The following is a 25883-nucleotide window of genomic DNA, read 5'->3' as shown; positions in this document are numbered from 1 at the left end:
ACCCCCTGTCCCTCCCCACACACACCCTAGGAATACATCTAACTAAGGAGGTGAAAGATCTCTACAAGGAGAATTATAAACACTGCTGAAAGAAATCACAGACAAATCAAACATATGGAAAAACATTCCATGCTCATGGATTGGAAGAATCAATATCATCAAAATGTCCATACTGCCCAAAACAATCTACAGATTCAACACCATTGCTATAAAATTTTCCATGTCATTTTTCACAGAATTAGAAAAAAACTATTCGAAAGTTCATATGGAAACAAAAAGGAGCCCAAGTAGCCAAAGCAATCCTAAGCAAAAAGAACAAAGCTGGAGACATCATATTACCCAACTTCAAACTATACTATAAAGCTACAGTAACCAAAACAGCATGATACTGGTACAAAAATGGACACAGACCAATGGAACAGAATAGAGAACCTGGGAATAAAGCCACACACCTATAACCATCTGATTTTCAACAATGTTTCCAAAAATAAACAATGGGGAAAGGACTATCTATTCAATAAATGGTGCTGGGAAAACTGGTTAAGCATATGCAGCCTGGATGCCTACCTCTCACCACATACAAAAATTAACTCAAGATGGATTAAAGACTTAAATGTAAGACATCAGCCTAGGTAAAGAATTTATGACTAAGTCCTCAAAAGTTCTTGCAACAAAAACAAAAGTTGACAAGTGAGACCTAATTAAACTAAAGAGCTTCTGCACAACAAAAGAAACTATCAACAGGGTAAACAACCTACAGAATGGAAGAAAGTATCTGCAAATTATGCAACTGACAAAGGACTAATGCCCAGAATCTATAAGAAACTTAAATCAACAAGAAGAAAACAAATAACCCTATTAAAAAGTGGGCAAAGGACATGAACAAATACTCTTCAAAAGAAGAAATACAAACAGCCAACAAACATATGAAAAAATCACTAATCATCAAAGAAATGCAAATCAAAATCACAATGAGATGGCATCTCACACCAGTCAGAATGGCTATCATTAAAAAGTCAAAAAATAACATGCCGGGGAGACTATGAAGAAAAAAGGAATGTTTATATGCTGTTACTGGAATGTAAATTAATTCAGTCACTATAGAAAGCAGTTTGGAGATTTCTCCAAGAACTAAAAATAGAATTACCACTGAACCCAGCAATCCTATTACTGGATATATACCCAAAGGAAAATAAAATTGTACTACCAAGAAACACCTGCACTCATACGTTTATTGCCACACTATTCACTATTCCACTAGGACAGAATCAACTGAAGAGCCTATCTGTGGTGAATATACGCCACAGAACACTATGCAGCCATAAAAAAAGAATGATATCATGTCCTTTGCAGCAACATGGATGCAGCTGGAGGCCATAATCCTAAGTGAATTAACACAAAAATAGAAAACGAAATATTGCATGTTCTTACTTACAATTTGAAGCTAAACCCTGAATACACTTGGACATGAAGATGGGAACCAAAGACACTGGGGACTCCAAAAGGAGAGTGCAGGGAAAGGTCTATAAAACTTCCTATTGGGTACTATGTTCACTATCTGGGTGATGGGATCAGTAGAAGCCCAAACCTCAGCATCACGCAATATAACCTTAAAATAAACCTACCACTGCACTCCTTGAATCTGAACCTAAAACTACAATTAAACAACACAAAAAAAATGGCTTGTAGTCGCCCCAAATTTAATGACTGGCTCTTACAAGCTGGTAAGATTTGATTCCGACATACCTCCGCATCAGTTTCCTCACAGTTAATATTGAGGTAATACTGTCTACCTCACAACGTTAATTTGATGAAGGTTGCCTCCAATCTACAAGATAGAGTCTAATTACTTGTTTATTTGTTTATGGTCTGTCTTTCAAAATCTAAATTATATGATGGCCTAGTCTATTTCTTTTGTTCACCACTATGTCTCATTTCTTGTGACAATGCTTATGCTGCATGTCACTACTAAATATTTGTAGAATCAATGAATACATTCCTCTAGTAGCATAATGTTCTTTCTTCTCCTCTCTTTCTCCATCACTTGTTCCTTATCTTTTTTTGTTTCAACAACATCTTATAACTCTCCACTGGTTCCTCACCAGCCTTTTTCCCCCAGTTAACAATCCTGCACTAACAGCCTCTGTACTAACTAAATTAACCCAGTTACCAGAAAAAGAATTCAGCAAATATTTATTGTTGCTGAATTAACTCTGGAACAAAATGCAGTATAAGATATGTCCTCTAGGAATTTAAATCAAGTTTCAGGTGGGTTAAGAGGCATAAATACACAAAAAGACCACAATAGATATATATAAAACCATAGAAAGAAGCCTCATAATAAAAGTTTTGATTTTTATTGGCAGAGACTTTGAGTAGCAAAGAAGTTCAGGGGAGGAAGACTGATGAGGCCTTAGGTGGTTAGGAGAAGCTTTATGAAAAGACCTAAAACTCCATCTGGTCTTCGGAGCATATGTACTATTTTCATTGGAAGAAAGGACTTTCTTATGGAGGAGATATTCAGAAACAAGGAAGAATGAAAGACACACTTCTGGGGGTAAAAATCATGAAGGCTGAGACTCGAACTTATTTCTCCTTGTACAGTGGTATATATAGTATGCACTCTGAATATTTTCTGGATAAATTAATAAACACATATATAAATTAGTAACAAGTTCATATATAGGAATTACAAAGAGTATGTCTAGAAGAGAGGATTTGAGCCAGGTGACAAAACCTACTAAGGAAGCAATTATTCTCTTAAGAGTCAGGGAGACAACTAAAGATCTATTCTTTTAAGTGGAGAGCTTATATATCCAGAAGTATTTAAGGCAGAAATCTGAGGTGTAATAATACAGATAGTTGGGCAAACTATGCATTGGGAAATGAACTGGAGCCAGAAAACTGGCTGGGAAGTAAGAGGAATATAAGATAGCAATAGCTGTTAGTTGTGAAAAGGCAACAGCTCTAACGGATACTTTGGAGCAGAGTTTGGCAAACTATTTGGGTAAGGATGCATATACTGAATATTTTAGACTTTGTGTCCCAAATATTCTTGTTGTTGGCATTTTATTTTTAAACTCCTTTAAAAATATTTTTTAAAACTATCGTTAGCCCACAGAGACATAGTTTGCTGACACCTACCTTAAAGGAATACTTTTAAAAAACCTTAATGACCAAGTATGTGTAAGGAAGAGGGGAGAATCAAAAATTACATCAAGATATTAAGTTGGCTGGTTGAGAGGATGAACAAAAAGAGAGAATGAAGCAACATCACAATGTAAAGATAAAACAACATCACAATAACTCACTCCCTTGAAGGGATTCCAAGTGAATGTTCATAATGACCTTACGAATAAGTTACTATTATTAGAACCACTTCAATGATGAGGAAACTGAGACACAGAGAAATTAAGAAAATTCTGAAAGTCATCCCTCTAGTATATGGACAATCTAAGCTTTGGCTTGGAAGTCAGCTCTAATAACCACTGCACACACATACACCCCCCCACACACACATACACACACACACACACACACACACACACACACACACACAATTTTGTGCATTTTTAGAAATGTTAAGATTGAGGTTATGACAGAGTTCCAATATTTAAAATAAATTTATATTTTCTAGGGTAAAATTGATTACCAAGATAATTTCTTTCTCATTGCATATCTCTCAATTTGAAGATAGACTATAGGGAGCTCATAAATGCAATTCTCATGTCGTATGCACATAAAAGAATTTCCTTTCACCATCTGCTTACAAATTAGGAATGTTCATATAACTTGCTTAGGCCAATGAAATCTAGGCAGAAGTGATATGCTTATTAAGAGCCAATGGGCAATTTACCATATATCCCCCTCCTTCTAATTCAGTGGTCAAAGAAACCCATGTTGAGGTCTACTATCTTCAATATCTGAGTGAATACAAACGACAGAACCTCCCTGGTGACCACATTAGACATGTTGCATAAATGAAAAGCAGTACTTGGTTTTACAGACCACTGAGATTTTGAAGTTGTTTATAACTGCAGCATAACTTTATTTATGCCAATTACTTCACAAACGTAAAGTTTTTTTTATCTCAGTTGAACTAAGAATGCTTCTTCATGAAAAAAAAAAAAGGATCAGACTAAATAATGGCTAAAGAACCTTATGAGTCTTATGATGAAACTATGTAATTCTGTTAAAGCTGACTTTAAAAAGTATGTGACTTACCAAGAATTAAGCAGACTTAAAAAAAATAATGTCCCCAGTTTCTGGAACAGATTGAAAGGCTAGCATACATTTAAACCTTGTGCAATGCTTAGATGTAGCCAAGGTTTGCAAACCCCTCTGAAATGGGTCTGAGTTTTGAGTTTCATAGCGAAATCCAAAACCTTAGAAGAGAGTTTCACATTTCACCCTGAAAGTTTCATACAGCTTAAACTTTCGTATCTTTTTCAGGTATCAGACTACAAAAAGTTCCTAAAATTTTTTTCTTTAAATAAATAATGATTATTTACTTAATTCTATTAAATTCAGAATACTCTGCTGTTCTTCGTGTACAAAGATAATATCACTGACCTACTCTCAGTTAAGTATTCACTCTCAGTTAATTTTAATTTCTGGTTGATCCTGGACTACAATTTATTTGCCCCAAACTTTTAAGTACTGTAAGTAGTGGCATACATTTTTTTAAAAATCTGGTTGAGCTGAGCTGTGTAATCTGGAAGCCTGGGAGCTAAGATATCTCTGGTGAACGAACCTCTTAATCTTAGCTCTGTTAGTTCCATGCTATTAACCCAGTGAGATGACTTTTAGAAGAAAAAAGAAAACATCAAGAACACCTGTCTAATCTTTTGACCAACTCCATTAAGATATGCCTAAGGCCAGTAATATAGACTATAATAAAACTGGACAAAAATAGCCATGTTTTTAAATTTTATGAGTTTATATTTGAAGATTTCCATAGTAAAAACCAGATTGATGAGTGAAAATGTTGCATTCAATGATTTACTTTAAATCAAAGGCAAAAAATTGTGAGTCATGTCTCCTTAGGAATAATACTCCAGGAATCCCTTTTCTCCCTTTCTGACCTTTTATAATACACACTATCAAAAGGCACATCAGAGAGCCCATCTTGTTCAGGTTCTCCCCTTTCTCTACTACCAAAAAATAGAATAGTTATTTGGTCAGCACCATGTTTATGCTTTGAGCTCCAAATTTTGTTGAAGTAATGAACAATTCTAATTTAAATATGTTCCTACTGCAATGTAGAAGTTGTGCTCTATGAAAAGAGTTCGAAAATGTAAATAAGAAACCTTGGATGATTTTACTTTATCACCTTTGATTCAACCCATGGCATATGTTTATAACACAGGAAGTACTTTATTATTTGCCAAAATAATGGGTTTTTGCCATTTTGTATTCTTCCTACTCAATGTTTCTATATCTGTAAAATGGATATAAAAACTCTTATCTACTAATAATAGGCCAGGCACGGTGACTCATGCCAATAATCCCAGCACTATGGAAGGCCGAGGCGGGTGGACCGCTTGAGCCCAGGAGTTAAAAACCAGCCTGGGCAACATGGCGAAACCTCATCTCAACCAAAAATACAAAAATAAAATAAAATAAATTAGGTGGGCAGGATGGTGCACACCTGTAGTCCCAACTACTCGGGAGGCTGAGGTGGGAGGATCACCTGAGTCCAGGAGCTTGAGGGTGCAGTGAGCCGTGATCACACCACTGCACTCCAGCCTGGGCAGTGGAGGGAGACAAAACAAACAAACAAACAAACAAACAATGGCAACGAAACCCCAAGAAAACTCCTATCTCACAGAATCATAATGACATTAAAGGAAATAAAGAACAGTGAAGCTGTTTTTAAGTGGTAAAACAACATACACAATTAGATATCTTTATTATACAAAATCCTAAAATTACTAGACCAGTTAATATTTAATTTTTCATATTTCATAATTAATGTGATGTAATATGATGATTCTCCAATTATTATAAGAATATGGAGGTCGATGACACAGGTTTTACTCTTAAAAGCCCAAATAATCCCAGAGCTAGTCAATTTTTTAGTTCTAGTGGATCATACTTGTGGCTAATTAGAGAAAGTCAAAACTGTCAGATCCCTCCTAATCTTGTTGGGACTAGCTGACAACCCAAAAGACTACATTTCCCAGCCTCTCTCGCAGTTAGGGTGGAACCATATGACGAGTTCTAGTCAATGAGCTGTGGACTAAAGAGTTAAAAATTATTTTCCTCAGGCTAACCCCTAAAGCTTTCTTCAAGGGATTATTCTTTCAAAAAGCAGCATTCCAAGATGAAAGGAGAGTTATAACCTGAATGTCCATGAGGTAAGGTGCCTCTACTCTCCCTATTTTTGGTCATATATGTTGGATGTTTATGTGAAACAGTCAGTTTGTGGGGAATAAAGAATTACTGCCAGACTATCAGTCATAATATAATTTAATTCTTTGTTTCCTTCATTGAAAAAGTGTTGCTACAAAACAATGTCACCTGACTAAACAATGTGCTTCCTGACACAGTATTAATACATTTACATTTTGATACAGATTCCTTATCTTGTTATAAACCAGTAACGAACAATTCAACAGATAGCAACAGTACAAGGCCATACACTGAATTGGATTGGTCTTACCTACCCTGACCAACAGACAAAGACCCTACAAGGTAGGGACAGAGCTTGTAGGTGAAAGTTGTGTATTCCCCAAATGCCATGTTAAATGAGGTACATCAGATGCATATTTATAATTAGATATGTTTCCTAGTATGTGACAGTTTATGCTTGTCATCCCACACTAATTGCACACCTTCTTTTGCTTTCTAATTGTCCCATTTAGTATGGTACATTATTTGGTCACCTTTACATAGAGCCTCACCTGATAAAGTAGAAGGAGAATTTGGGGTAAGAAAAAATAATGATGCTTTTTTTTTCTTTTTCTTTTTTTTTTTTTTGAGACAAAGTCTTGCTCTGTTGCCCAGGCTGAAGAGCAGTGGCATGATCATAGCTTACTGCACTTTTGATCTCCTGGCTCAAGTGATCCTTCTGCTTCAGCCTCCCAAGTAGGTTGGACAACAGGTGTGCACCACAGCAACTGGCTATTTTCAAAAAATGTTTAATAGAGATGAGGTCTCCTTATGTTGCCCAGGCTGTTCTCAAACTCCCAAGCTCAAGCAATCCTCCCACCTTGGCCTTCCAAAGTCCTGGGATTACAGCCATGAGCCACCACACCCAGCCTAAATACTTTTTAATCTACACTACCAGTAAGTATTTTTCATAAGAAACCATTATTAAATGAGTGATTAAAACCAAGAGGGGCAGGGCGTGGTGGTTCACGCCTGTAATCCCAGCACTTTGGGAGGCCGAGGCGGGTGGATCATTTGAGGTCAGGAGTTCAAGATCAGCCTGGCCAACATGGTGAAACCCCGTTTCTACTAAAAATACAAAAATTAGCCAGACATGGTGGTGCACACCTGTAGTCCCAGCTACTTGGGAGGCTGAGGCAAGAGAATCGCTTGAACCTGGGAGGCGGAGGTTGCAGTGAGCTGAGATCATGCCACTGTACTCCAGCCTGAGTGACAGTGAGACTCTATTTCCAAAAAAAACCCAAAAACAAGAAACAAGAGGAATCATCAGTTATTTACTTTTGCTATCCTCATTACCAGGAACAAAAAAATATAAAAACAAAATCTCTAGAACACATACCATATCACAGTTCCACACAAAAAAATAAAATGAGGAATGTTTATATTGTTTTAGAGTAATCCTTTGAGCATTTTAATCAAGTTGACTAAAATGAATTTCATTTCCAATGTGATTTTACACAATAGTCTTCATTTTTGCATACTGTCATACGCTTTTGTGCATTGATTCTGATTTTTGTATTTTAGGCACTATTAATAATCTTGACGTTGCCAAAGTCACCCTTGTTCAGGGACTTAGAATTTTCACAAATCCTATGTATGTTTATATTTGAATTATTTCATAACTTTTAAAAGCAATATAGCAGTTGATCACTGGACTTAAGCAACTTGGTTTTGGCTCTTTCTCTTACTATCTGGGTGGTTCTACTCAGCTTATTTAATGTCCCTAAGACTTAGCTCCTTCATCAATAAAATGGGGATAAATATATATACACTCACATGCCTGGGAATGCTGTGAGAATTAAATTAGGTAGTGTATTAAGGAATATATAAATCGTATGGTGCATGTGAAAGTGAAATTGCATGTGAAGTAATTCAATACTAGATTTGGGGTAACTTATTCCACATTTCTGAAGGAAGGATATCTATTAGTCAAACAGTCCTGCAGTCTCTCTGCCCCATCATTCATTTCGCCTCAGTAGAAAAGGGCTGACTTTTCTAGCAAGTGCATTTTGGAGAAAGAACTGAGTTTTGACGCTTCTTCTATTCCTTCACTTGGGAGCCAGCTTATGCCCCAAGAATAGACCTTCCTTTGGGTCCATTTTCACCCAGGGTAACAGGGAGTCGTCCACTGCAGTCTGTGTGGCTCTGGGAGTAAACCTAGCAAAGTCTTTGATGCATTTTGAGGTAGCTCACTTGGTCACACATGTTCACTATTATCTTTAATCACTTTGATCCATTAAAGCTGATATTTTTATCTTCATTTGCCATATGTCATATCTACCTTTCAAATAGGAAGGAATGAGAAGTACTACTTATTTGTCCCAATTTGTACAGTAAATTATTTGGTCATCTTTACATAGACCCTTCCCTGATAGGTAGAATGAGAATTTGGGATAAGAAAAAATGATGGATTTATTGTTTCTGGTCAAACCCCAACAGAAATAAGGTCCTGTAATGAAAATATGAATGACACGTTATATATTGGTATTTATTGTAGTTTTTAGTTTCTTTTGAAGTATAAAACAGTCTTAAACTTAATCTTATTTGTATATTGCATACACACAATGCTTTCATTCTTTTATTAAAAATTTTTATTCCCTAAATATACACTACATTAAATTAAATATCTTCACATAACATACTGATTTTAGAATCAGAATACATATATATATATATATCAATTCAGAAAACACATAAAGAGGCAATTATACTAATTTAATATGATAACATGCTTTGACTAGCTTTCCAGTATTAACATCATGATTAAAACATAATCCCTTAATTATATACTGGCTTAGATTTTACAAATGCTCTCTCATCCATGATCATTTGATCCTGTCATCTTGTCCTCCATTTGACCAGGTTGCCTAAGGTAAAGGGCTGCAGCCACAGATCCCTAAGACGAGACTAACTGACTAGAGGAGAATTTAACTTGCAACTTGAGCCTCTCTGGTATTCTGTGCTAACCAGTGAACTAAATGGTCAAGAAGGAAACCTCATCAGAAAATGAACTGGGATTCATACAGGGGATACAGTGCTTTTGTGGAGTTGAACTGTAGTCCACTTTCCCTTATGAGGCAGCACATCTTATCTAAGTGTTGCAGATGTTTCTCAAATGGCCTAATAAATATTAGAATATCATCTAGGTAAATGAGGTAAATATGTCATTGGAATCTTGCAGCCTTCCATAATTAAATGCAACACACCCGCTACTTATTTTCTTTCTATCAAGCTAAACTTGGCTAGCTTGAATCGCCCACATATTTTGATAATATTCCTTCCTAAGGAAACTGGGATTCATTCACCTTGGCAGGGGTGGGGGTTGGAAGAGCGAAAGTAGTTACCGAATTAACATGATATAGCTTAATTCTGCATCTTTCAAGCACAGAGAGAACCATGTACTTCAAATGTAAGATACCAAATCAATCAGACTAGAACTCTAGCCACGGAAGAGGCCATGACATTTCAGACAGCGTCAGTCTTTAAGCTGCATCCAATTTTCTGCCAGATTCAGGATTTAGAACAGATAGTTTTCTAATTTTTGTTGATTTAAAGTAGTCCAATATATGTAAAGGGGGAGGAAATATGTAGTTTTATTTCTGCCAAATTTTCAGTAATGCAAAATCCACGTAAAACCAATTTAGCAATGTTAGGTCTTTAGCAGGTTCAGAACTTAGTCCTCTGATTCCAAATGTTGAGAGAGAGAGAGAGAGAGATAGCTTGGTGTTTTCCCTGTGGTCAGGGTGAAGGTCCTCTTGTGTGGGCAAGGGGCTTATGTGGTTTGAATTCACTACTGGTGCTAAAGGAGAGAGAACTCAGGATTTATTACCTGCTTGCCCAGATGTGGGGCATAAGTGGAAGAGGAGAGGTGAAGCCTAGAAACTGTCAACAGTCAAACATGAAGAAAAGGTAACAGCATTCCTCTTCATATCAACAATTATAAAAATGAAGGGCGGGTGGATAGTGATACAGGATAATCGTGGAAAGACATATATTAAAACAGTTGATTCTTTAAATATGACCTGAGCCATATTGCCCTGAACAATGAAGATAGTGTTCCTATGCAAAGAAATGATTTTTATAATGAAATGCTTGAAATATTAGAACTTATTGATCTATATATGAATGCAAACTAGTTTAGGAAAACCAAGAGAAACATCTACAGCTTTTCAGGTTGCCATATGTAATGAAGGCCCAGCCTCACCTGAGCACAGTTTACTTCTCTAGCATCCATGTCACACAATCTGTTCTCATGCTGCATAACACTGAGATTCTGCCCATTTCCTAAACAAGCCAAGACCTTATTAAAAAAAACAAAACAACAACAAAAAACTTTCTACTTTGTGTACCTCGATTGCCCTTCCCTTCGTTCTCCGTCTAGCAAATTTCCTTTACTGAATTACTGCCAAATCCTTCCAAGTGGTGAGTCCCACTATCCCCTTTGTTTCCTTAATACGGATTTTCTCCCCAGTAGATCTCTCTGTAATTTGTGTTTTTCTATTTACCTCAGTATATAAAGAAATGGCCCTAAAGCTTAAATCTTTGTGTGGATAGCACTAAGTGCAGTGCCAAGTAGACAGTGGGTGCTCCATATATGTTATGGTATTATCTATTATTAATAAATAATACTATTAATAAAGCTGTTTCTTCTGATCTGAAATGGACACATTTTTCTTAATGTGAGTCATTCTCATTGGTTCTTACCATCATGCTAATCCTTGGTCTAGAACCTTCTCTACAGAATATAAGAATGTTGGGCGCGGGGCGGGGGGCAGGAAAGGAGTCCAAGCAAAACTCATTCCTCACCATTCACTTGGTTATTGTTTCTTTTCACTTTCTCACAGGAGAAGTGCTACAGAACTGGCATAATTATTTTAGATAATATTAGATTACACTATGCGAAGTTTTCTGTGAGTCCTGCCTGTCCTAACCTTCCATCCCAACATTTGTGACTCTTGGCTCCACAATGTCAGAGAGAAACAAAAAGCAAGGCAGTGCCTTCACTTTCTCCTGCTGCTGATCTGGTTGTCAAAACTGAGAGCAAGGCACAATGCCAAAATACATACCCATTTTCAAATCCATGATCCGATTTTTCTAGGGTCAGGCAAATAGGTGGGGCACTGAGGTAGAATCCCAACTCCCTTATACACGTGTCCCCTTTTGGGGTTGAGGATGAACAACCAATTTCTTTATTTACCACACTGAAACACTTGACTTCTAATGTAAAATAAGGAGATAATTTTGGTTTGCCGTTAAAGAACATTTTCCTGGGAAAAGCTCTGTTCTTAAAATCTGAGAGGAAAAATCTGCAACCAAACATTTTGCACTGAAGCCTGCTTTGGAAGAAAAGGTAGAAGTGGAAAAGCTACCAAATGACACAGCCATTAACACTGTTACTATCACCCCATTTCTTGATGCAACACAGCAATTTGTGATTTTCAAAGTACTTTTCACCTACATTTGATGCCCAAGATAAATCTCCCTGTAATAAAGGTGATGACTATTCTCATGGGAAGACCTAACACAGGCTGCTGTTACATTCTGTGGCTAATGCCTTAGCTATTGTTTGTTGAAACCCGTTTCTTAAAATTAATGCATAGAGGATGCTGATAGTTGGAAACCTGCTTGTTCTTGAAAAACAAAACAAAACAAAGAAAACAAAGCAAAGACAAAACAAACACAAAGAAGCAGCCCTTTAAGAAGCTGAGCAGACACTTCCTGTCAAATAATGAACCACATTGTAAGATGGATTTATTCATACTACAGCTGTGATTTGATAACCAATTTTGTTTGGAATTTATTTGTGAAATGTCACACAATCCAAGATGTTTTAATTATGTTACATTTAATCCAACACTGCTGATTATAAAATGAGTGATCAAGAGTTAAATCAACTAGAGTCTAGAAAAGATGTAGAAAGAAAGACTGCTATAGTGCAAGCACATCAAACCTGCTGCTATGTTTGACTGGTGATTTGTTTATGCTTAAACGAAAATTCCCCTGGCTTAAAAAATATATATACTCATTTTTGAAAAATGACTGTAGTTTCAGGTTAACACACAGTTCTTTATAGTAGAAACTTTACAATCATCACCATGAAGACTATATTTTCAGGTAATATTCACAAATCCCTAAGGAATGAACTTCCAGGCATGTATTTTGTAACGTTAAATTATGCATATTTCTACCACTACTTTCCTGCTGTTTAGATGTGGTATTAATGGTACGTCTGAAGATGGCATGGCACATATTACAACCTTTTGTTTAGCAGATTTATTAGAAAGTGTTTTAGCCTTTGTGATTTAAAGACACATTTTCATTTTTGCTTGATTATACAAGATTGCTTTATACAGAATAGTAAGTTTACTTTCCATCTAAGTTATTCAAAAATAGGTTGTATATTACATATGCTTTTAGAATAACTCTAATTCACCACTAATAGCAGATAGAGACAGAATATAAACTAAAGGGTAGGAAATTCCACATAAGATCAAATGTCTTGAAAAGCTCCACATAATCACTGAGTCAAAGAAATATCAACAGAACTGACTTTATAATAGCATTTCAGAAATTTCTGTCTTTTTCCAAGTAGAAAATCCTAACAGAATATAGGTTTTGCTTGTCAGATGTCTAAAAATATATTTCAAATATTAACTATAGCCAACTCTGCTGTTTCTCTATTCCCATTCCAAGATAAAACAAGGAAAAACAAAATGTGAGAATGAAAAACACTTTATTTCTCTACACAATCCAAAATGTTATTGATATATTAAGTTTAATGTGTATTTAATTATCCCAACAAAAATACCAACAAAACACACTATTTATCATAAAATCAAGGAAGTACTCAACAATGCAAGACAATGGCAGGTTATGGCAAAAACAAAATGTAATTTAAAAAATTTAAAAATGTGGTGTCATATTAGAACTGATAGGGATGGCTGGGCGCAGTGGCTCACGCCTGTAATCCCAGCGCTTTGGGAGGCGGTGGCTGGATCATGAGGTCAGGAGTTTGAGATCAGCCTGGCCAACATGGTGAAACCCAGTCTCTAGTAAAAATACAAAAATTAGCCAGGCGTGGTGGTGCGCGGCTGTAATCCCAGCTACTCAGGAGCCTGAGGCAGGAGAATCACATGAACCCGTAAGGTGGAGGCTGCAGTGAGTGGAGATCATGCTACTGCACTGCACTCCAGCCTGGATGACAGTGGGAGACTCAGTCTCAAAAAACAAACAAACAATCAAACAAACAAACAAACAAACAAACAAAAAACTCCTAGGGATAAGGTCAACAGTGGAAAATCACATAAAATAAGCAGCTTTAAAATTCTGGACAATAACCAGCTTTAATACAAGTCACAAGATGTAACAAATTTATCAGCAGGTATCTAATATGTATTATTAATCAAATAACCAGGCAACCAGTAACTAGTGCTATTTTGGAAACTAGACTTGTACATACGTATTTCTAAATGTGGAAACCTAGAAAATGTCTGCTAATGTAATAATTCTTGAAAACCTGATTAATTCTGAAAATTACTAAAATCAATTCAGGCTAAGTCGTTCCTCACTGAATACGGATAAAATAACTTCAAAATCCATAGCCACTGGTTGCCACGCAACCTGCTGTAGCATTATGGCAGAATAAGCTGGGCTTGAATTTTCTAGGCCCTCTTGCTTTGCCGACTTGATGTTTTGATACCCTAATGCGTCTCAGCTAACTTCCATTAAGTAGTGTTTTGTGGGGTAGTATTCCAAGGTTAAAATGATTAAATAACTTTTATGGTTGATCAAATATAAGCCCTTATTATACACAGTAGGCAAAATCATACATTTTAATTACTTTGTTATCAAAGATCTAAGTATTTACATTTCATTTTTCAATAATAATTCTGAGTTTAGTAGACCTTTCAAAAATACCTAAAATATTGCTCTTTAAAAATATTTATCATAAACAATAATGAAATTAGTCTAAGACAACAATAAATAATATTCGTTGAATGTTGAGTGTTCAACATTTTTATTTTATGACTTTGTGTAGCTAGTTTAGATTAATTTTTTTCAATGTAATCAAATTAATTATTTGAGAGTTTGCATTATATTTCTCACTTTGCAACCATGCACAAAATAAAGAAAACTGATCAATATTTGATCACAGTTACAGCGCATTAATTCAAAGTTAATTTTCAGTGGAATCATTGCCATTATTCACTTTTGAGAGGTGTTATATGAATATCAGGAAAAATACCCAATCTTTATAAAAAGAAAAACATTTTAGAATAGAGGCTTAACAAAAGAACTATATCATTAAGAAAAAGAAATTCCTTTCAAAACAATACTCCAAACTATATGTTTAGAAAAATACCAGTGTGGCTTCATCTTATACCTTTAAGTTTGTACAAATATGAATTATTCTCATATAAAGAGAGAATCAGAGTGACCAAAGTCTCTTTAATAACATCATCTCTCTTGGAAATCCACTTATTATCAAAATGGAAAGCAATTTAAAATCTAGCCATTAACCTCTAGAACTTATGTAAAAACAGATTTATTAGAATAGGAGAGAAATACCATTTTAGTAATTTACACTATAAATATTTCAAAATAAAAATATTACCCTCCATTTATTACAAAGGAAAATGAATATGTCAAAATTCACTCACATTTAATTTTAATGGCAAGATGTTCAGATAATTACACCTTATAGAGAGACCCAAATTTGCAATTAAGTTCAAATAGATTTAATATTGCTTAAGTCTGACATTAGGTAAATTAAACTGCAGATCTTTTTTAAATAACTTATGTGCTCATTTTTACTTGCATAATTCTAAAATTCGTTGGCTTAGGTCAATGTATTAAAATAGCATCTTGCCAACCTTTTCCAGGCCCTCAAAAGAATATAGCAAGGAGAGAAGAAAATGACACTGATTTTGATTGTATGGGAATTGGAAATGGAAATGTTCTAGATGAAAAGATATTATAAGTCAAAATATCAGTATGCAGGTAATCTAAACAACATTGAAATTGAAGCTGTGTAACCTTGTTGCAATCATAAAGCCATATAATTTTTATTATTTTAACTATATAACCAATGTTTATTGTCAGGGAACTGTCTAATGTATATTTTTATATCTCTGTTCTTCAAAAGTCTTTTTGTTTTAATTTCTGTATAATCCATGAACTTTGTTCGTCTAAAAGCTATAAAATGCTAAATCAAGTTTTTCCAACTTGGGACTATTTCTACTAAAATAAAAATGTCCCAAATTAACAGTTAAACTAGGCATCAAAAAATTCAAATTAATATATTCCTTTTTGTATTGATTAAAGCACTGACTTTGCTAAGAAGTAACGAGAACATTTTTATTATTTTTTAAATAACAAATGATACATGAATTTAAGAAAGTGAAAAGTGGTTTCTTTGCTATAAGTTATCTTGGAGCTTTGAATATGTTGATATGCATTTTGCAGTCCCCAGTGACTTGCCCAGTGTGTTCACCATGGATGATACCCCTTCTCTCTCCACCTCTGCCACCTTCCCTAGTGTCTCTTCCGCTTTGCAAGCCCTGGTCTGGAATCCAAGAAATGTAGAAATTGAGAACAGATTACCTAGTGAAAGTTGGAAAGTATATCCTGGCTCATGATTAAGGGAAAGGTAGAACTAGTATTCAAAGGTAATTAGCACTGATTTCAATTCAAGCCACATCAACAATTTCTACTGAGTACACACCATTTGCATAGAGCAAAATTAGGCATTGTGAAAGACATGAGAGAAATACAAGGGAAAATACATATATTTTAGGAACATATTACAATATATCAAAATATGTGATTCAGAGATCTGAAAATGAATTTAAGGACCAGCTAACCCTTCTTCTCCTTGTTTGAAGATAAAACACAAACTCACAACTATCAGAGACTATGATAAGACCTTCTTCAACTCAGTTTTTTTTCTATGGCTCTCAGAATATAAGGGATATGGCAGAAGAATAACAGTTAACACCAGCAGGGAGTCTGAAATTACTTTAGCCATTCATATTTAGCTATGTTAAAAATACAGTCTGGCCTCCTTTGAAGTAATGCCACTATCATGGAAAAAGACAATTTTTAAAATTGTAAACTAAGGATGTAAATTTTAAGAAAAATATATCTAATTTTTTCATGTGCATACTTTAGGATTCCGTGAAAATTTCATTATACAGCAGGAAATACAGTTATACCAGAGTAAATATAAAGCTAAAGAGGGCTTGAAGTAAAAGTTTAAAGGATATATCATCAAACTTTAAATAGGCCTTTCTCTGGCCTGGCTAAATTACTACACTTCTTGATGCTGTTTGCTCCTCATAGCAATTGAAAGCATATGTAATTTAACAGCAGTCCTCAATCCTTTAATAAGCTGTCTTTAAAATACCTTACATGGATTACCTATCTGTAAATCTGCTTCCCATGCAGAATGTGACAGCATTATGGAAATTGTTAGTTCAGTAAAGATGGCATATACCAAAGGCAACTACATCTGCACCGTCTAAGATTGTACCAAACATTGGAAGTAATCTTTCAGCATTTATAATACTGCAAAATGCATAATTAAGATTAAGCGCTCATTCTAACCTTCATTATGGACTGTGTATTTCAAATTTGGGAGGTAGGTAAGACAGAAGTGGAACTATAAAGTATCACAGTAAGACTGCATCTTTTAAATTATATGAAGTTGGTTCTATCTCATAGACTCGGATTTTCCGCATTTGTCAGATTAGCAGATAATCATGTGTTCACAGAAAATTGGGTAGAGAATTTAAGATTTAAAAGTTGAAAATCTGAATATATATTTGGCTTAATTCTTTTATTCTAATTTTGAATTATAAGACTTTCATAATCAAATACATATCAAGTTCATCAGGGGTCACCGATACCCCAATTTATTTATCTGATTTATATTTAGAGATTATCAGTTTCAAACAGATTCAGGTGAGCTAGATCACTAAGTAGAATAACAAACTTGTAAAAAAACTAACAGTATGCAAGCCTGCTTCAAAATTACATGCAGAAACTGCCAGAAATAATGCTATTATTTATAGTTTATCAGTACAGCAAAACAAAATTTAAAGAAATATAATTTAAAGTTGTCTTTCCAAGTTTTCCCAAGTTAGAGTAGAATAAAAATATTTCATATTTGTGTTTTCTGATAATAAAAGGGACTCTTAAAAAAGGGAGGCAGCTATGCGAATGCTATTGTTTCTTTACGCATATCCTCGGTGAAAAAATATTATCTCGTAAATAATTAGCTCTCTAATTTTTAATAACTTTGGTAGCAAATAAAGTGGAAGGAAGTGAGCCTATACATGAGTGCTCAGAAATAAAGCTCTCTTCTGGTCATAATCCTCAGTTTCAAAGTTAATAGAAATGAAAATTCTTAAATTTTATGCTACATACCCATGTTGAATGAGAGTCACACTTTATTACGCAGGTGACAGAGGAAAGGGATTAAGGGGGAAGGATGTCCACGATCATATAAGGGTAAGTGAAGGATTCTTAAAAGACTTACTCGATTTGGTAGGCAATTTCTCCGCCTCACTGCCCAGGATACGACCTTAGCTAGACCTATTCCTACAGTGACCCCATTGAGAACACCAGGATGGTGCACGGCAGGGCCCAAAGGGGTAGACCTGGTGAATCCCTAATCTTCTCACTGTGTTCAGCAGAGACTCTCAAAATAAGGTAGATCCATGTGTGCCTACTGTTATGTTCACAGCAGGGATGCTATATTAATATTGCACTGTTAGAGATGAGCCCTAATTACTGACAAGATTCATAGTTATGGAAAGAAAGTGGGAAAAATATAATCTAGGCCTCAACATTAAACATGAAAAGTAAGACAAAGATTCTGCAGAGAGCAAGAAAATCACATTTTGAGGTTACTGCTTTGTTTTCATTTCCATCTACTTTACAAAAGCACTCTTTTTTCTCATTTCTAAAGTGGGATCATCTACACTTAGAAAAGAGAAGAAAAAATGAAAAATTAACTAAGTCCAATGTAGAGATGACTTAAATATGTAAAAATATACGCTATATATTTCTATAATAGTACATTTACCTATTTTCTGCTCATAATATTTTATTTCTCTAATGTCTCCAACCTGCAAAAATATCTTAAGCACCTTTCTTTTCTTTGGTTTTGAGTGATTCTCAGCATGCATGAGTAATTCTGATTTCATCAAATGTGTTTGGTGACTGCACTTAACAAAACACTGAAATGTGAAAACAGAAATCCAACTCTAATAATCATCCAGATGTAACCCAAATCTAAACATCAACTTCAGAGCTAGGCTACTACAAGTGCTTTCCTGAAACTGAGTATTTAATGAGTTGATCTCCATCAGTTAAACAAAAAGAAGCATGAGCTAAGTTTACAAAACAATTTCGGGTACAGCAAAAAAAAAAAAAAAAAAAAAAAAAATACAAACCATTCTTGCCTGACTTAAATATTTTGGAGTAATATAGACAGGGCTTTAATCTGCGAAGACACTGCTGTAAATACACTTTTCTTTTCTTCTTCAAGGTTATCATCCATGATTACGTATTTTCTCAGGAGATAGAGTAATTTGATCTAATATATTACAGGGAATTGTACGTGGAAGGATTAACAGGAATCTTTATTTCTTAAAAATACTATCATATTATGTCTCTTAATGACTGAATTATATTACATTTATAAAGTATGGCAATATGGCTAATGATTCAATGCTGATCCTATGTAGACAGATAGATCCGGATTCAAATTCTGATTCTACTGAGGATGGTTCCTCATTAGTTAAGTGGGGATAAAAACAGTACTTGTTTTAGAGGGTTATCTTAAAAAGTAAATGAGACATAATATATTTGAGTCATATGGATTGTCCTGGCTCAGAGTCAATTCTCAATAACAGTCATTATTGTTAATATGCTAGAATACCACTGATAAAGATGTATGTTTGAAATTTGTTCTTAATGTAAAGAAATAGGAAAACATCTTAATAGTAATTGAAATTTCTTAAAATTATAATTTTATATTAGATGACCTACTTGGAGGGAAGTCCAACTTCCTCAATGAAAATTGAATCGTATCACTTAGTAAAATTAATGTACTTAATTCATTTAATTAAAAGGAAAGGAGGACCTAAAGACATTGAGTAATTTAAACCATTTGCTCAGAAATATCCAATTCATCAAATAAACAAGAATTGATTGTTCATCAACTTCCAGGCACTGTGATAATCACTTTACATGAATATCTTATTTAGTTTTTAGACAATATTCATAAAGAGTTACTAACACAGTTTTCATATTACAGATTGGAGACCTGAGTCTCTAAGAAGTAAAGTAACTTGCTCGATATTTTTATGGTAGAATGATTCAAGAAAAATTAGCCACATTTATTAGGAAGTAGAGACTTTTCTTTAAAAAAATCATAATTGTGATTTTTTTACTTATGCATTTCTTAAACTCCAAGAAAACAGAAAACTCTATTTGAGTCAATGAAGCAAATAATGAAACTTAAAAAAATTTGGAGAGGCTGGGCGCGGTGGCTCAGGCCTGTAATCCCAGCACTTTGGGAGGCCGCGGGGGGCAGATCACAAGGTCAGGAGATTGAGACCATCCTGGCTAACACAGCGAAACCCCGTCTCTACTAAAAATACAAAAAAATTAGCCGGCGTAGTGACAGGCGCCTGTAGTCCTACCTATTCGGGAAGCAGAGGCAGGAGAATGGTGTGAACCCGAGAGGCAGAGCTTGCAGTGAGCCGAGATCGCACCACTGCACTCCAGCCTGGGCAACAGAGTGTGAGACTCCATCTCAAAAAAAAAAAAAAAAAAAAAAGAAAAGAAAAAAAGAAAAGAAAAAAATTTGGATAATATATTGTATATTTCAAAATAGCTAGACAATAATATTTGAAATGTTCTCAACACAAATAATAAAATGTTTGAAGTAATGGATATCTTAAATACGCTGATTTGATCATTACCCATTGTATGACTACAGAGAGATATCACATGTACCCCATAAATATGTACAAATATTAGTTATTAATAAAAATAACTAAAATTTTAAAAATTGGATAATACACCATTTAAAAGATAAATTTTAGTCAGATTTAGTAGCAAGAAGCACATGTTACAGCTGTCCATATAGAAAATATATGGCCTATTGGAATTCAAAAAAATTTAAAATGGATAACAAAATTAGATTTATGATGAGCACATATAGTATATTCTTGATTTTGAAATATTTTATCTGGATATGTGCATCTTCTGTGTTTCAGTGCGCTTGGCTATGCTTTCCTAAGTATATTTTCCTAAATGTTGGGCATGTAGTGTAGTAGAGCAAAGAAACAACAACAAATAAATGGCTGAGACCTCAGCATTAACAACTTCATCTGCTCCTCTTTCTCTGTCTTCTTCAAAATGTAACTTAGGATGCAGCTGCTTGTCAGAAGTCCCAACGCGAGTTGCCGACAAGCTGCGGAATAGCCTGCACCAATGCACGTACACTTGACCTTCTCTACACAAGGTTATTTTTGTGAGGGCAAAGCCATTATTCATGGGGCTTTGCTGTTACTCCATTAACTTATTTGCTCATCCAAGAATCACTGGTTCTCTCCATGGAGGACTGGATCAGTATTCTCTTTATGTGACAATTTTATGATGGAAAAACAGAGTCCATAAAATAAACCTTCTTCTCTAATATCTCCACACTTGTGTTTCTATTCCAACTCAACAGAAGGGCACCATGCGACCGTAGCTTAGGCTCTTCTCATGTCATGCTCTGCCCATTTCAGTAGTTGCCCACCTATCACCTCTGTCTGCGTTCTACTTTCCAGCCAATCCTGCACACTCCCATACTTTCTCTGGAAACATCATTTAAAAAATGTCATTGCTCTGTGCAGAAAGAATTTCTAGCTTTCTATGGTCTACTCATCAATGAAAAAAATCTTTAACCTAGTATTCAAAGCCCTTCACACATGCCTTGGAAGTAGCTTCCTAGTGCTCTTCTTTACTCTCCTACTCATAAACATTTTCTTCCATCCTGAACAATTTTCCATTTCTTGAATACAAGTGGTTTTGTCCTGTTTTTATGTGTTTGTTTACAACAAATTCCAAAATGAGCATGGTACCTATCTGGAGTTTGGTAAATCACATCCATATTTCTAAGGCAAATGCCAATTCCAACCCTTTGGCTTTGTACAGGCAGAAGTAATCTTTTCTTCATCCATATTCCAATAGATGTTCTGCATTCTTCATAAAGCACTTAATGCATGCTACATTGAATTACATACTTATGAACATCCCATTTGTACGAATCTGATTATGTGATTCAATAATAAAATAATAATAATGCAACTGAATCTTCCATGCCAGTGGTCTTTAAAATTTTTATGTATTTGCACATCCATAAGCAAAATTTTGAGTTTGCACCCCCTACATATAGATATTTGTGTTTAAATTATTTGCATAATCCACTATATGAACACATTGTAGTCATTATAACACACATACAAATATGGACATTATAAAAAGAGAGATTAATAGGTGTTCTAACAATTTGTTTTCCTTGAAATACATGCACCCAACTTTTGAGACCATTCTGGACACTAGCAGTATACAAATTAAACAAATGTTTTTCAAGGACTTAGTCACCTTATAAACCAGGTCCAAAGATAATGTAAAAAACTAAATAAATCACAACTCACTATGTTCATAGTAGATTCATGATTCTGTTTCTTTGGAGTCCACTATAGACTCTAAAAGAGCATGACTTGTACAGAATCAATAGCTACTAAAAATGTTTTCAGATCAAAGAAGATTGTTAGCTTTTTGCCTAAATGTTTTGCCTAAAGTCAATTTAGTTTATTACTTGAGTAGAATTACAATTTGTATTTTTATAGTTTTTAATAAGTAGAAACATGTTTGCCTATCTTTCCTTGAAATTCACAAGAGTTGTATGAGATAAACTCTAAAGGAGCGCATAGTTTTTCCGTCAATCACTCTAGACCTATCATGTGTCAGGAACTATTCTACGTACTAATGAAACACCAGTGAGCAAGTAACTCAAATCACTACCCTCACAGGGTTCACACCTCCATGGGAAGAGATACACAATAAACAAGAAGAAACTAAACTAACATGACAATTCAGAGAGTATAAGTGTTAGAAAGGAAACAAAACATTATGATAAAAACAGAAAATTATTAGGTAACTGTGGGGAAGGAAGGTATAGTCAAAAATAGTGAGGGTGGTCAAAAAGTCTCTTTGGGGCTGGGCGCGGTGGCTCACGCCTGTAATCCCAGCACTTTGGGAGGCCGAGGCGGGTGGATCATGAGGTCAGGAGATCGAGACCATCCTGGCTAACAAGGTGAAACCCCGTCTCTACTAAAAATACAAAAAATTAGCCGGGCGCGGTGGCGGGCGCCCGTAGTCCCGGCTACTCGGGAGGCTGAGGCAGGAGAATGGCGTGAACCCGGGAAGCGGAGCTTGCAGTGAGCCGAGATCCCGCCACTGCAGTCCGCAGTCCGGCCTGGGCGACAGAGCGAGACTCCGTCTCAAAAAAAAAAAAAAAAAAAAAAAAAAAAGTCTCTTTGGGAACAGGGCGCTTGAGCCAACCTTGAATGAACAGTCAGAAGCAACTATGTGAACAGTAGAATGAGAGAGTACAAAATAATTAAGGAAAGAGGAATAAGCTTTACATGTCTGAGGAATTAAAAGAAGGCTAACATACCTTGGGGGCTATTGAGTAGGAGAGGATAATAAGAATTTCAATCAGGAGCTCTAGAGTCAGACAGATTGGGGTCAAATGCCATCTCCTCTATCAACTCTGTGACTTTGGAAGAGTTACTCTTAGGCAAAAGATTAATAAAACTGTTCTTACCTTCTGCATGTGAAATTAACTTGAGCTTAACTCTCTAGATAGTTTCCCTAGTAATCTGATAAAAGTTGGAATGTTAATGATATTATTAGGTAATAGTGCTTTTGGTAAAAATGACCACTGATTGGTAGATGGCAACGGAGGTGGGGGAGTATAAACACATTATTCAATATGTGATGAGGAGGCCATACTTAGGGCTTTTCAGTTTGGTGGCTCATAAAAGACATAACCCTGGGGATTTGCGGTGTGAGTTATTATGAGAGATATTAGTTTCTGTGGGTCATGAGGCTTCTGAGTCAGGGCTACTCCCACAGGTGTCCAAGGTGAGTCTCATTTCGTTGTACCTGAGCTGCCACCAAAGGAGAAGATATCTCCTGAGGAGCTACATGGCTAGAGAATGAACTGGTGTCTAGACTCCTGCAAGGACTCCTACTCAACAGGAATCCCTGGTGCGGAAGCTTGTGGTTCCTGTCCGGTGTCCTTCTCGATACACTGGCCCAGTGTAGCTTACGGTAGTTTTCTCAGTCTGAAGGTTTGGCCCCGATGGTCAATGCCAGCTAAATCTGTTTCCTCAATTGTTAAGTGAGAACGATAACAGCACTGGCTTATTCTGAGAATTAAAGAACATCATTTTAACATAGTGCTCTTGCGGAGCATCAGCATCAATCAAATGATTCTATAACTGTGAATTATTTTGTTATTAGTCTTATTATGCTTTTACATGTTCAGCTTAGAGAGATAACTGCCTTATTCAGGGTGAACCCTGGGAAACATCAAAGTGAAGACGGTAACCTCTCCCTGGCATCCTAATTGAGGTATATGTCATGTGCCATTCTTGCAACACTAGTTCAAGGCTATGCAAGTTCCTTAGGATATTCTATAGTGTGCAGGATACAGAGATGGATAAAAGTTTAGAGGTTCTTCTGCCTCCTAATCTCAAATTGACCTAATGATGTCACTGGAAGAGTAAATATAAGGAAGATCAAGAAGCTAATGGGATAAATCATCTGTTTCACTTTTTCTCTCTTTCAGTCTGTATCCTCTAGATCATGGACAGCCTATTGATCCTTCTAACTCTGCAGCAAAGCCTCCAAGTTAAAAAGGAAAATAAGTCTCTCAACACCATTATTTATTCAGCTGCACACAGTCTTGAACTGCTGAAATATAAAAATGAAACCAAAGCAGTTTCCATCTAATCACTTTTTTAAAAAATGCCATGCAGAATATGTTTATCACAATCACCATCATCATCATCATCACCACTGCTGTTGCCACTGCATCACCATCCAACATGAACACCACCAACTTAATCATGTCCCTGATTCAACAGTTTTCAACTTGTTTATACATAAAATAATGACAGAGTGTGATTGTTTGCCAAAAAAAGTTTTTCTATGAGCATCTTAATAACCAAGTTATAATAACCCAGTTATTTCCATCAACAAAAAAAATCTGAATAGCATTTGGTTTGTCTGTGTATCAGCAGAAATGCTTATGTGAATTTAGCATTTATTATAACTGATGAAGTCCTTTTAACTGGAGTGTATTGTAATAATATGTCTGCAAAACATAATATGTCTGTGAAAGATAATGAAATATTTTAGCATTTGCAATAAAAAGGTACTGAAGTCTCAGTTCCTTTTCAACTCTAACAATTATATCAACATCTATGTCTTACTCTTTTTAAAAAGTGTGATGTGTGACTTGATAGAATACATGTTAGGAAGTACAGGGCTAATTAACTTGGTTGAGGTGGTTACAGAAGGCTTCCATAAGGAATTATATTGTGATTGAGATAGGAAGGAAGAGTAGAAAATGCTTAGGTCAGGAAGGGAGTGGAGGTGGATGATGAGAGATGGAAGTACATAAGAGATGAACAGCATATGCAAAGGCTGTGGATATTACAAATTCTCACCAATATGAAGGATGGAAGAAAGGTCAGTGTAGAAGGTGAATAGTAGGTGGGGTGGAGCCACCATATAGGCAATTTATTTGAACACTAATGAGTAATTTATTCTGTATTGGTATGCTTCTCATATGCTCACATTAAAGCTGCTATATTAATACAATATTTCTGAGTAATTTATGCTTACTATGTACATAATAGACAATATTTGCTAAGTACATGATAGAGAATGAGAAGAGTGTAATGTATTCACAAAGATCTAGACTTATTGTCTGAGCCTTGAAAATAATGTCTATTCAAAAACATATGCCTTGAAAAATATTTGTGTGTATATGTATGTAAATGTATAGAAGACTATATAATATCTTCCTTCTGATGTGTTCCAAAGGATTTCCTGTGCTATCATATTTGTTTTCAACAAAAAAATCTATGAATAGTTTATAGATCAAATACATATAGAAAAGTTAAATGTCTTGCTCAACATTTTAAATTATTTTCGCCCATTAAATATTTTATTTCTTCCACCCAAAAGTTTGCCTAAATTTTACATGTTTATATATTCCATAAATGAAGCAACTAGTGTCAAATAATTTTTGTTATTTTTTATTTGAATAAAACCACCTACAATAATTTTCCTGATTTATAAAACTACTCAATATTTTAAAGCTTACATCATGTTTACATTTCCCTTTT

The 25883-nt window shown here is 35.2% G+C and overlaps 1 protein-coding gene across 10 annotated transcripts in view, besides 1 other annotated feature; it reads right to left on the bottom strand.

Moving 5' to 3' along the window:
• The window catches only part of ZFPM2 (zinc finger protein, FOG family member 2), a 486102-nt gene that overhangs the window by 90317 nt on the left and 369902 nt on the right, over positions 1-25883 (bottom strand). The window lies entirely within an intron of this gene.
• Positions 473-1022: an enhancer, noted in NCBI's record as "OCT4-NANOG hESC enhancer chr8:106725429-106725978 (GRCh37/hg19 assembly coordinates)". NCBI's record gives its function as "activates a minimal SCP1, AML or CMV promoter by ChIP-STARR-seq in primed H9 embryonic stem cells {active_cell/tissue: H9 hESC(primed)}" and the evidence as "EXISTENCE:reporter gene assay evidence [ECO:0000049][PMID:30033119]".

Source organism: Homo sapiens, chromosome 8 (genome assembly GCF_000001405.40).
Source record: "Homo sapiens chromosome 8, GRCh38.p14 Primary Assembly".
NCBI classification, from domain to species: domain Eukaryota; kingdom Metazoa; phylum Chordata; class Mammalia; order Primates; family Hominidae; genus Homo; species Homo sapiens.
Note: the sequence above shows the minus strand (reverse complement) of the source record. Positions and strands in the feature narration are given on the sequence as shown.